This window comes from Homo sapiens, chromosome 20, assembly GCF_000001405.40.
Source record: "Homo sapiens chromosome 20, GRCh38.p14 Primary Assembly".
NCBI classification, from domain to species: Eukaryota; Metazoa; Chordata; class Mammalia; order Primates; family Hominidae; genus Homo; species Homo sapiens.
The window spans coordinates 2,485,220-2,498,155 of record NC_000020.11 but is presented as its reverse complement, the minus strand read 5'-3'; the positions used below and the strand labels follow the sequence as shown (position 1 = coordinate 2,498,155).

At 41.6% G+C, this 12,936-nt stretch overlaps 1 protein-coding gene across 18 annotated transcripts in view; it reads left to right on the top strand.

Annotated features, from left to right (window-relative positions):
• Positions 1-12,936, top strand: part of ZNF343 (zinc finger protein 343) — a 43,183-nt gene that overhangs the window by 26,844 nt on the left and 3,403 nt on the right. For 5 of the 18 annotated variants that reach the window (XM_047440474.1, NM_001321802.2, NM_001282497.2 and 2 more), the window contains exons 3-6: positions 4,112-4,378; positions 4,579-4,637; positions 5,331-5,457; positions 11,393-11,515. In XM_047440474.1, coding sequence (XP_047296430.1) covers positions 4,261-4,378; positions 4,579-4,637; positions 5,331-5,457; positions 11,393-11,515 — 427 coding nt within the window. In that variant the 5' untranslated portion in view covers positions 4,112-4,260. 18 annotated transcript variants of the gene reach the window in all.

Genomic DNA, 12,936 nt, shown 5'->3' with positions numbered 1-12,936 from the left:
TGCCCTCCTGACCTCAGGTGATCCACCCGCCTCAGCCTCCCAAAATGCTGGGATTCCAGGCATGAGCCACCACGCCTGGCCTGAAGCACTTTATATATGAGTACTTTCCCTCACTGGACCATGAAGTGGCTCTTTAAGGATCAGGGACCTCTTGCTCATTTTGGGTCACTGACACAGTGCCTAACAACTAGCAGGACTAAATCAGTCTTCGTGAGCATTTGAGCAGCCCTGCTTCCTGGCCGTGGAGGAGCCATATGGAGGAGCCATATGAAGGAGCCGGGGCGGGTGGGTACGGGGGGTTCAGATTGAGAAGTAGGTTGGGCCATTATTAAGAAAGGCCAGGATACCAAGTTAGTGAGTTGGACTCACTCTGTGGCCATCAGGGAACCACTTGAAGGTTTTGAGCTACTTTTGAGTGTGATCTCTCCCTTCAGCTATTACCCCATTTCTCTGCTTTCCTTTATTGCAAAACTCCCCAAAAGAATGGTCTATACTTGTTGCCTCCAGTTCTATTTTTCCATTCTGTTTTAAATCCTTTTGTAGCTCACCCTCCAGAAACTGTTCTTGCCAAGGTCACCAGCAGCCACTACTGTGCTAAACACAGGAATGAATTTCCAGTCTTTATTTTACTCTGTCTTCTTGGCAGCAATTCCTGTGGTCGATCTCTTCTTCCTCCTTGACACACCTTGTCACTTGGCTCCAGTACTGTATGTACCTCTCCTTTTCTTCCCTCCCTCACAGGCTACTTCTCTGTCTTCCCTGACGGTTCTTTTTTTCCCTGGCCTCCTAACTGTGGAGTCCTCCAGAGCTTAGTCCTTGACAATTCCTCCATCTTCCTCCTCTGCCTTGGTGATCTCCTCCACTCTGAGGACTTTAAATCCATCTATATGACTCTAGTGTAGACCTCTTCCTTCCCCTCCAGTATTGGATGACTAATTGCCTACTTGTAATCTCCACTTGGATCTGTATTTAGCATCTCAAACCTAGTCTCAAACATCAAACTTTGTTCTTCTCCCCCAAAATTTGCTCCAGTTATAGCTTTCCTCACACCTGTTGATGGTAAAATTTTTTTTTTTAGACAGAGTTTTGCTTTTGTTGCCCAGGCTGGAGTGCAGTGGTGCGATCTCGGCTCACCGCAACCTCTGTCTCCCGGGTTCAAGCAATTCTCCTGCCTCAGCCTCCCGAGTAGCTGGGATTACAGGCATGTGCCACCATGCCCGGCTAATTTTGTATTTTTAGTAGAGATGGGGTTTCTCCATGTTGGTCAGGCTGGTCTCAAACTCCCGACCTCAGGTGATCTGCCCACCTCGGCCTCCCACAGTGCTGGGATTAAAGGCATGAGTCACCGTGCCTGGCTGATGGTAAGTCTTATCCTTCCAACTGCTCCAGGCAAAAATACTAGAATTGTCTTTGATTTTTTTTTCATCTCACAACTGACATACAATAAGGAAATTCAGGATGTGATTGCTATTTACCACCTACACTGTGTCCACTTTCGTCCAAACCACCATTATCTCCCACCTGAATTATTTCAACAGCCTTTACAGGATTTCCTTGCTTCTCTCCTTGTTCTCTGTCCCCTTTGTCTGTTCCTAGTCTACCAGCCAGAGACATCTTTTAAAATGTAAATCCAAGCTTGTTATTCCTCTGCTCCAAATACTCCAATGGCTTCTCATTTCCCTCCACATCAAAACCAGCATGCTCAAGGCTGCACATGACCTGTGCCCTGGTACCGCTGTCGTTGACTGCTCTTAACTGCCACCACTGTGTTTCACTTACACCCTCCTGCCACAGTGAACTTGTTATTTCTGAAATAGCAGGGCTCACTCCTGCCCTAGGACCTTCAATGGGCTGGTTTCTTTCCTTATAGTTCTACTGACACAGTTGCCCACATGAATCACTCCCTCACATTGTTCAAATCTCAAGTAATCACCTTTAAAAGGCTTTCCTTAAATACTCGATTTAAAATTGCAACTCCTTCAGTCTCTGCCACTGGATCCTTCTGGTGCCCTCAGTACTTATCTCCGTCTGATATCTTGTGTCTTTTCTGAGGTATATATTTTTTTTGTCCATCTCCTTGCCCCTAAACCCCACTAAAATGGCAGCTACACGAGTGCTGGTATTTTTTCTGTTGCATTTGTGGCAGTGTCCCAAATGTTGGAATACTGCATTTAGTAGCCGGGCATGGTGGCTCACGCCTGTAATCCCAGCGCGTTGGGAGGCCGAGGCAGACGGATCACAAAGTCAGGAGTTCGAGACCAGCCTGGCCAACATGGTGAAACCCCATCTCTACTAAAAATTCAAACAATTAGCTGGATGTGGTGGCAGGTGCCTGTAATCCCAGGTACTTGGGAGGCTGAGGCAAAAGAATCACTTGAACCTGGGAGGCAGAGGTTGCGGTGAGCCAAGATTGCACCACTGCACTCCAGCCTGGGCAACAGGGTGAGACTCTGTCTCAAAAAAAAAAAAAAGAAAAAAGAAAAAAAAAAGTCTGCACTTAGTACAGATCTTGCTTTATAACTGTTAGCTACAGATACTAGTGTTACTAGGAGAAAGGCTTTGTCAGCTTCAGCTACGTTATACTGCAGGTACTATAGGTTGGCTTTAGCTTTGTACCATGACTTTTTACAGTAGAACCACAGTCCCTCTTCGGACATGCTGTTCTCAGAACAAAAGAAATGGTGGAATTATGCAATGCTTAGAAATGGCATCGTCGCTTTCACTCACATTCATTTTCCAAGGCAAGTTACAAGGTCAAGCCTGATGTCTGGGACAGGGAAGTACCATCCTTTTATAGGGCAACAAATAATTGGGAACGATGATAAAATCTACCACAAAGGCCTCTTTTATTCTAATCACTAGAATTATATTAGCAAAAAGACTGAGAAGCATTTCATCTTACAAGAAGCTTCACAGTTTAGTAAAGACAGTCACGTAAATAGAGAAATTGCAATATGGTATGATGGCCAGGTTGGACAGAAGAGGGAGTGGTCATCTCTACCTATGGTGTTGAGGGATGAATTACAAGAGCTGCTTAGAGACCCCAGCTAGTCTCAGAAGGGTACTAGGCAACAATAGGCCTGTAGCCATTTGGGCTGAAATCCTGGACAGCGTCTGAGGAGCTTTTGAAGGTGGCATAGCTCCTAATACCACCTGCCTTCTTTGGGACCACATCAGTGTAGGACTTTGACTTGGGCCCATCAGGATACACAAATGCACATCTGTGGTAAGGTCATGTGGTAGACATGCATAGCAATGGAAGCTAGGAGGTTATCTCTTCAGAGTAATTGTGAGAACTGGAGCTCTCCCTTAACTAAGAAGGACTGAGTTTTGATCTCCTAAACTCCTCACAATACAGGGACATAGGGATTTTTTTTTTTTTTCTTGAGACAGGGTCTTACTCCTGCCGTCCAGGCTAGAGTGCAATGGCATGATCTCAGCTCACTGCAGCCTCGACTTCCCGAGGTCAGGTGATCCTCCCACCTCAGCCTGCTGAGTAGCTGGGACTACAGGCGCACACCACCATGCCCAGCTGATTTTTGTATTTTTTGTAGAGACGGCATTTCGCTATGTTGCCCAGACTGGTCTTGAGCTCCTGAGCTTAAGTGATTAGCTTGCCGTGGCCTCCCAAAGTACTGAGATTACAGGTGTGAACCACTGTGCCCATCCAAGACACAAGGAACTGAATATAGATGGAACCTTGGGTTGGGGCAGGGGAATCAGAAGCTGAGTTCTGCACGCCCCAGTTGGTCTACAGGAAACAGTCAGAGGCTCTTTCTCCACAGGCATTATGCTATATTCTGTCTTCTCTCTGACTCAGGCTTCAGGTAGTAGCAGAGACTGATCCAAAACATAGAGTTTGAATCTGAGGTGCAGAGGCAGAAGAAGTAAAGTTTGAGAGCTAAGGGAGAGTGGCAGAACACAAGCAGGAGGGCCTAGAAATGAAGGTAGAGTGAATGAAGGTAGAAAATCCAGGGATCCCATGTAGATGGAGACTCCGTGTTTGTTGAATGAGGAGGGTGTGAGAGGACAGGATCCCTGTTGAAGAGGCATAGGCCTAGGGCCCACAATAAAAGCCCCAGCAATAGCAAATTGCTTCTTCATCCCACAGGTCCTGGCTGCAGGGAAACAAGCTGGGCTTTTTATAATTAAGGTTGGAAGAAGTCACCACAGGCAGCAGAACTCCATCTTGAGATGAAATAACATCTACCTGGACCTCTGGCAGAATTTCAAGGCACACACTGGGCTGACTCTGGCGCCATGATGTTGCCTTATCCTTCAGCACTGGGAGATCAATACTGGGAAGAGATTTTGCTTCCAAAGAATGGGGAAAATGTAGAGACTATGAAGAAATTGACCCAAAATCATAAAGCGAAAGGTGAGAATTGTTGAGGGAGCCGGAGGGATGAAGAGGAAGCCAAGGCTCCAGGTTCACCTGAAAATGCTTCAGAGGTCACCTCTGAGTTAAGTGACTACTTCCTTCATCCTAAGGCTCAGAAGAGCTGCTCAGGGAGCGTCATGGTGGGGGGTGGGGGGTGGGGGGGTCTGGTTTCTCATAGCTTCTTTTTCTTTCCCTAGGCTTGCCTTCTAATGATACTGACTGCCCCCAGAAAAAGGAGGGAAAGGCCCAAATAGTGGTGAGTTGGGGTTACATTTTTTTTTTTTCCTGAAGTGCTGGCTCATTTTCCAGAGAATAGACATATATTCTCTTTCTTGGGAAAGGAAAAGGCGGTCAACATCTGGGTAGATGAGTGAAGCATTAGGCTTTCTTGAAAAAAGTTGTCAAAGCACATAGCAAAGACAGGGATTTTACAGATCCCATTTAGTAACCTGAGCTTTTAAAAAATGCTCATTCCAGACCCCATCTGTTCACTCCCATTTTTCTCTGTAATCCAAGTTTTCTTCCATTCTCTCCTCTAAATCTTTACCACTCCCTACTGCCCAGCACAAGCCCCAAGTCCATGATGCTTTTGTTCCTTCTGCAGCCCATTCTCTGCTGTTTCATCTCTGAATTCCTTCATTATGAATCCTCAAAGTCACTGTCTTAAACACAGCCTGAGGTTTACAAATTAATTCACAAATCATTTCTCCGGTGAAATCATATATGTCAAGGGCCTAGAATGTGTTCTGTGCTCAGTTATGCTCCTCACAGGTTTTAACAGAAAGCCAGGCAGACAGTAGTGCTCAGAAGAACTTCATATGGAGAACCATATATTCTGACGAATTACATCAACTTGCATATCCAGGCTCTCCAGGGTCACCAGCTGTGCTCCACACACAGGGAAGATTGATGGTGGCTTGCTATACATTAATTTACTGGTTGTTTGTAGGTACCAGTTACATTCAGGGATGTGACTGTGATCTTCACAGAAGCAGAATGGAAGAGACTGAGTCCAGAGCAGAGGAATCTATACAAAGAAGTGATGCTGGAGAATTACAGGAATCTTCTCTCATTGGGTAAGGCTGTGTTCTTTCCTTTCCTTCATTAATTCAGTAGAGATTTACTGATCACCTAATATGTACCACAAAAAAATGTTCTAGATACTTACAACACATTAGTAAACAAAATCGTAATCCCTGCCTCCATGGGGCTTACTTTCTAGTGTAAGGAGACAGACAACAAACAAAAAGCCTCATATACAGGGATATTATAATATGGTATGTTAAAAGGTGATAAGTGCAACATAGTAAAAAATAATGAAATAAGGCAGGATAAAGGGGTATTGGGTGTGATAGGGTGGCTGGCTGAAGTTTAAAACTGGGTATTTGAAATCAGTGAAGAAGTAATATTTGTCTAAAGACATAATGTGGTGAGGAGGTTAGAACTGTAGGTATCTAGTGTAAGAGCATTTCAGGTGAAGGGAATTATTGACACGAAGACCTTAATGAAGGGATGTACCTGCCCAGTATATGAAGCTGCAAGGAGGCAAGCAAGGCTGGGGGCATGGTTTGCAAGGGGGAGAGATGCAGCTCTGTGACATAAGTTAAAATTAAGAGTCAAGTTTATTGTGGTTTGGGGGTTTCATAAACTATGTTTTTTTCTTTTTCATTTGTTTACAAACCTAAACGAGGTCAGGAGATCGAGACCATCCTGGCCAACATAGTGAAATCCCATCTCTACTAAAAATACAAAAATTAGCTGAGCATGGTGGCATGTGCCTGTAATCTCAGCTACTTGGGAGCCTGAGGCAGGAGAATCACTTGAACCAGGGAGTCAGAGGTTGCAGTGAGCCGAGATTGTGCCGTTGCACTCCAGCCTGGTGACAGAGTGAAACTCAGTCTGAAAAAATAAAAAAAAATAAAAAAATATTTAAATCTGGGTTGATAAATGTTATCAATTGCAACATAACTCTAGATCAGGGGTTGGCCAACTTTTTCTGTAAAGGGCCAAACAATAACTGTTTTTACAGGTGATAAGCCCTCTGTAACAACCCTTAACTTGCCATTGAGTTGCAGCCATAAACAGTATGTGAACGGATGAGCATTGATATGTTCCAATAAAACTTTCTTTATAGACACTGAAATTTGAATTTAATATAATGTTTATGTATCATGAAATATTACTACTCTTTTTACTTTTTTCTAGCCATTTAAAAATGTAAAAACCATTCTTAGCTTGTAGGTGATACAAAAACAGAGGACTGGATTTAGCTTGTGGGTAGTCATTTTCCACTCCTTGTTCTAGATCAGTGCTGTCTAGTAGAAATATAATGTGAGCCACATAGGTAAGTTTAAATTTCCTAGTAACCACATTTTTACAAGTATAACTACAGGTGAAATCAACTTTAAGACTATATATATTATTTAATCCAATATATTAAAATATCATTTTAACATGAAATTAACATAAAACTTATTAATTAGGTATTTTACTTATTTTTTTGTACTGTCTTTGAAACCTGGTTGTATTTTACACTTAGAGCACATCTTAGTTCAGATTAGCCATGTTTCAAGTGCTCAATGAGCACATGGCCAGTGGCTGCTATACTGGATAGTACTGTTCTAGATATTCCTATGTTTCTAGATAAAACATGTAGAGAAGAATCACATTTTTGGAGACACAAACCAGTTTCAGGGAGGAGTTTCTTTGGGAGTTTGCTCCAAATGGCGTGGCTGTTTCCCTGATATGATTTAATCAGATTTACTTTATTCCATTTTCATCTTCTTTGATGTGTTTTGATCTGATTCGCTCTGGTTTGAACTAGCGCCCATCTGACCTGGCTCCATCTAAATCACTGTAGATTCATCCATTTCGGACTCGTTCTGTGTGTGTTTTTCCTTTTAAAAAAATGATTTATAATTTTTGTAAATGGTTTTGTGTGTTTTGATTTGGCCTTAGCTGGTTAGTCCAACTAGGTTTTGTTTTTATTTTTCTCTGGTCATACTGTTTTCTCTTCCACTGTTAATACATATAACTGATTCAGAGGAAAATGTTAAAACTGACCTGGTTCATAGCCAAGTGTGGTGGCGGGCACCTGTAATCCCAGCTACTCAGGAGGCTGAGGCAGGAGATTCACTTGAACCCAGGAGGTGGAGGTTGCAGTGAGCTGAGATCATGCCATTGCACTCCAGCCTGGGGAACAAGAGCAAAACTCCATCTCAAAAAAAAAAACAAAAACCAAAAAAAAGACCCATAAAACAGCAAACAAACAAACAAACACACACACAAACAAATGACCTAGTTCAAATGAATCTTGATATTGAAAACCTGGATCCCAATTGCATTCCTTGAAATCGTTTCCTTTGTCTTGCTTGACACCATAATGTTCCGCAGTCTCCAGCCTCTGACGTCTCTCTTTTGGGCTATTCCCTTCCTTCTTTTTCTTTTCTCTGGGCTGCAGGGGTCCGTAGGAGTCAGTGTCACATACTCCTTTTCTGTGTTTGTATTCACACCATTTAACAATTTGAGAACTTGAATGAGTTTCCCCATCACACATTATAATGAAGCCATTATCTATCGCTGTCTCACCTGTGCTTCATCCCCATCTTTCTCCTTGCCTGCAACCACAAGCTTATTCTCAAAGTTATAAAAACTTGAGAGCATACTGTTTTTCCTCCTAAACCAGTCTCTCTCTTTCTTTCCTCTTTCCATTTTCCCCTTTGTTCGCTTTTTCCCCCTTCCCCTTTCCTTTTCTTTCCTTCTTTTATTTTACTTTATTTCTTTTTTTTTCAGACAGGGTTTTGCCATGTTGTCCAGGCTGGTCTCGAACTCTTGGGCTTAAGCAATCCACCCACCCCAGCCTCCCAGAGTGCTGGGATTGCAGGTGTGAGCCATAGCCCGGCCCGAGTCTCTTTTTCTCTCTTTCTTCACATATTCATGTTAATGTCTTTTCTTCAAGGGCATTGTTAGAAATAATGGGCCAATTCTTTCTGAAATAATCTTTAAAGCCTTCACAGGGGAGACAGTTTAATAAGCTTAGGCCAGATAATACTGTGATAAACAACCCCAATACTTTAGTGGCTTATAATAGCAAATGCTCATTTCTCACATTACCTCTTGGTTACTTCAGGTGTGGTTCAGCTATTTTGGTTCTGGGATCCAAGCAAAAGGAGCAGTTTCTGTCTGGATCATGGGGTTCTCAAGGTAGAGGGAAAAAGAGCAATGATGGGACCACATCCTGGCTCTTAACACTTGTTTGAAAGTGCATTAACTTCCCACTAACCTTCATTGGCCAAAGCAAATCCCACAGCTAAGTCTGATGTCATCGTGGTGGGAAAGAGAATCCTTCTTCAGAGATGGGCTCAGTGGGGAGGAACAGCAGATATTATGAGCAAAATACAGTTTGCTACAAGAGGGTAGCTTAGGTTGAATCTGAGAAATAAGTGTTCGTAGGGCTGATAGGTCAAGGAGGAACATGAATTATCTAGACTTAATAGTTATTAACACATTACCAGCTTGCATTATCATTCACTTCTCCCTTTCTGGCCAAATTATTTCAAAGTTAATTCTAAATATCACGACACCCTTAAATATACCACATTTCTCTAAAAAGTGAAAATGGATTCTTACATAACCACAATACCATTACTACGTTCAACAAAGTTAATGGTATCTAATACGAAATCTGTGTTCAAATTTCTTTGATTTAAAAAAAATTTATATATATTTTGAGACAGGGTCTCACGTCTGTCATCCAGGCTGGAGTGCAGTGGCATGATCATAGCTCACTGCAGCCTCGACTTCCTGGGCTCAGGTGATTCTCCCACCTCAACCTTCCTAGTAGCTGGGACTACAGGTGCATGCCACCATGCCAGCTAATTGTTTGTATTTTTAGTAGAGGCAGGGTTTTGCCATGTTGCCCAGGCTGGTCTCAAGCTTCTGGTCTAAAGTGATCCACCTGCGTGGGCGTCCCAAAGTGCTGGGATTACAGGTGTGAGCCACAATGCACGGCCTCAAAAAATATTTTTATAGATTAAAATCAGGTTGTCACTTATCCCTAAGGTAATTCATAAAGTTAACATGTCCCAATAAAACAGTGAAATTCTTTTCTGAAATTCACATGGAAAAATAAAGGTGGAAAAATAGGCAAGAATGCACTGAAAAATAAAAGCTATAACAGGGTACTATCCTTATCAGACACTAAAATATGCTACAAAACCTTTAGAATTAAAATGTGTCCTTTGAGTTGAAGCTGCAAGGAGAAAATAAAGAAAGAAAACATTGTGGTGCTGGCCCATGACTAGACAAATAGACCAGTGGAATCAAGAAGTCAACCCAAGTACTTATGGAACTTTGGTATGTGATGAAGGTGGCATCTCAAATTCCTGGAGTAAAGATGGACATTTTAATAAATGGTGTTGGGCAACTAGATATCCATTTGGAAAAACATAACATTGGACCATATACCACACACCATACACAAGAAAAATCCCAAATGACTAGAGATCTAAATGTAAAAAATTAAACCGTAAACACACTAGGATAGGATGGGGGTAAATATTCTATCACCTGGACACAGGAAAAGGTTTTCTAAATTTGGCTAAAAATCCAGATGCCTAGAAGGGAAGAGTGATAAGTTTGACGCTGTAAGCAAAGTCAAAAGAAAGGACTAATTTCCAGGAAATATTTGCCACATACAGTATATCACATATAAAGAGTTATTTTCCATAACATAGAATGAATCTTAAAATTCAAAGAGAAGAACCCTAAAACCAGATAGGAAGAAAATAGGCAAAATACCTAAATAGACGATTCACAAAATAAAATATAACATTGTCCCTTAAATGTTTGAAAAGGTGTTCAACTTCACTTCTAATTAGATAAATGCAAATTAAAACTACACACCATTCTTAACATACCATTGGCAGCATTTAAAAAGGTTGACAGAACACTTGGCTAAGCTGAGGGCTATAGGCAACCTTATACACTGCAGATGGCAATGCAGAAATGCTGCAGCCATTATGGAGGGAAATTTGGCAACATGTAACGAAACTATATATGCATATGCTTTGACCTGGCAATCCTACCTATAGGAATTTACCCTGAAGATTCATCTCCAAAGATATTACACTTGTACAGGGTTATTCATTGTAGCATTGTTTCTGTATAAAAGATCAGAGTAACCTAATTGCCCTTATGTAGTAAATTGGTTGAAGAAGTGATGATACATGACTTCCAAAATGGGGAAGAGCTCCTCTGAACTGATAGGGAGTAAATTCTTGGATATATTAAGTGAAAAGAGCCAAGTGCAAAGAGTGTTTTTAAAAGTGAGAAATTATGAGCATATGCATATCTGTTTCTTCTTTTTTTCTTTTCCCACAAAGTAATACAGGGTTAATAAACCAGAAACTAATGAGATTGGTTAGCTGTGAGGTTATATGTGGGATTTGGCTGGAAGGCTATGGAAAGGAGAGGCATGCCCTTTCTGAATAGTTTTGCACTTTTGGAGCATGTTAGTGTTTAAATACTCAAAGAAAGGAATTAAATCAACAAAGAGAGGGAAAATCCCTACAATCGAATACAAAGAGAAACAAATTTACCTAACTGTGTTCCAAAATAATAACACGACCACAGGTAACAGGGGAAAACAACCCCGTTAACAGAGAGCTTTGACCATACTCCATAGTAAAATGAGGGTTGGCAAACTAGGGTCTACAGGCCAAATCTGTCTCACTGCCTGTTTTTGTAAATAAAGTTTTTTTGGAACAATGAATTATTTATGGCTGCTTTTGTTATACAATGGCAGAGTTAAGCAGTCATGATAGAGACCATGTCACCTACAAACCCTAAAATATTTACTCTGGTTCTTTACAGAAAAAATTGGCCAACTCCTTCTCTATTGACAAAGAAGTGCATGAACTATATGGACTATATTTTGTATATTTGTGTTTTGTAAGGATGTGGGTCCACAATTCTGAAACTATATTCCTTGCATTTTTTTTTTTTTTTAAGATGGAGTTTCGCTCTTGTTGCCCAGGCTAGAGTGCAATCGTGCAATCTCGGCTCACCACAACCTTTGCCTCCCGGGTTCAAGCAATTCTCCTGCCACAGCCTCTCGAGTAGTTGGGATTACAGGCATGTGCCACCACACCTGGCTAATTTTGTATTTTCAGTAGAGATGGGGTTTCTCCACATTGGTCAGGCTGGTCTGGAACTCCCGACCTCAGGTGATCCACCTGCCTCAGCCTCCCAGAGTACTGGCATGAGCCACTGCACCCGGCCTTATTCCTTGCATTTTAAGATTAAGCAAATGAGTAAATATATTGATGATGCAAGACAGATCTCTCAACTATATAGTTCTTTAGAAATATATACTGAATTATTATATAGCAAAGGGGCATGATAGAAAACAGAGTTCCTCAAAATGGCCTCAGTAAATCTAAATTATCTTTAGTGAAATGATGATACTTTCCTAGTAAGGCGTAGGGATTAGAATCATAGTGAGTATACATGGGGTCCCTTTAACAGGGTGTTAAGTGTAAGGAGCTTTTGGTTCCAGTGTTTGACACAAAATAGACACAAATGAGATTTCTTCTCCTACTGAAATGCTTCTCAGTGATGTAGGGTGTTACATCACTGCCGTATATATATTCAGACTGCAGTCTGAATGACTTGGTATGCTTCTAGATAATCCAAAAAGATGGCAGCGAATCACAGTCAAAATATCAAGGCAAAAAGTTCACGTCACAAAGTACCAGAATGACCACAAGTCTTATAAGAGATGACGGGTCAGAAATAGAAACAAATAATGAGTTACTTTGAGAACCCAAGTAAACCAAACAGACTCAGGGAGTGCTCAGTGACAGCAAGCAGAGCCTGACAGCTGCTGAGAGCCTCACCCATGGCAAGGCTGCCAGACAAGCAGCTTTGAGCACATACGGCTCAGTCTACACACAGCTGTGTTCCTCTGGCAGTCCAGCAGTTCCAGCACTGGTCGGTGCCTTGTCAGAGCAACCAAAGGGAAAACACATTGTCAAAAACTAAAACAAAGACCACAAAAGGTCAAAAAATCAAATGGCACAAATCATTTACTTAACAGGAAAGGAGACACAGCAGTGAAGAAATTCACTGTATAGTTTGGCAAGGGGGAAAAATAAAAGGTTTTACTGTTAGGGAGCAGTTTCATGATGGTTATGCTAATTAAGGTTTGAAAACTAGCATTCCAGATAGGATAGGATGAGTTTTTAAGGACAGATACAGTTGATTATAAAGATTCCAGTGTTCATTAGTTAGGCAGAAGTCTTCAGTTAGGCCCAGTAGGGTCTGGGGCCAAGTACGTGGTCATTTCTCAGCATCAGTTGGATAGATCATGTTGTGATGAAATGCAACATCTAGTTTTGATATTTTGTAGGCAGGTGCTGCTGTAAATGAAAAGTTTTTCTTTTTACTGATTTATGAAAAGTGGAAAGAAAGGCAGATTTTGTTGTTTTGGCTTGGTGCCAGAATCCTAAAATCATGGACCATGTCTTTCTTGTTCATTACTGAATTCATAATAC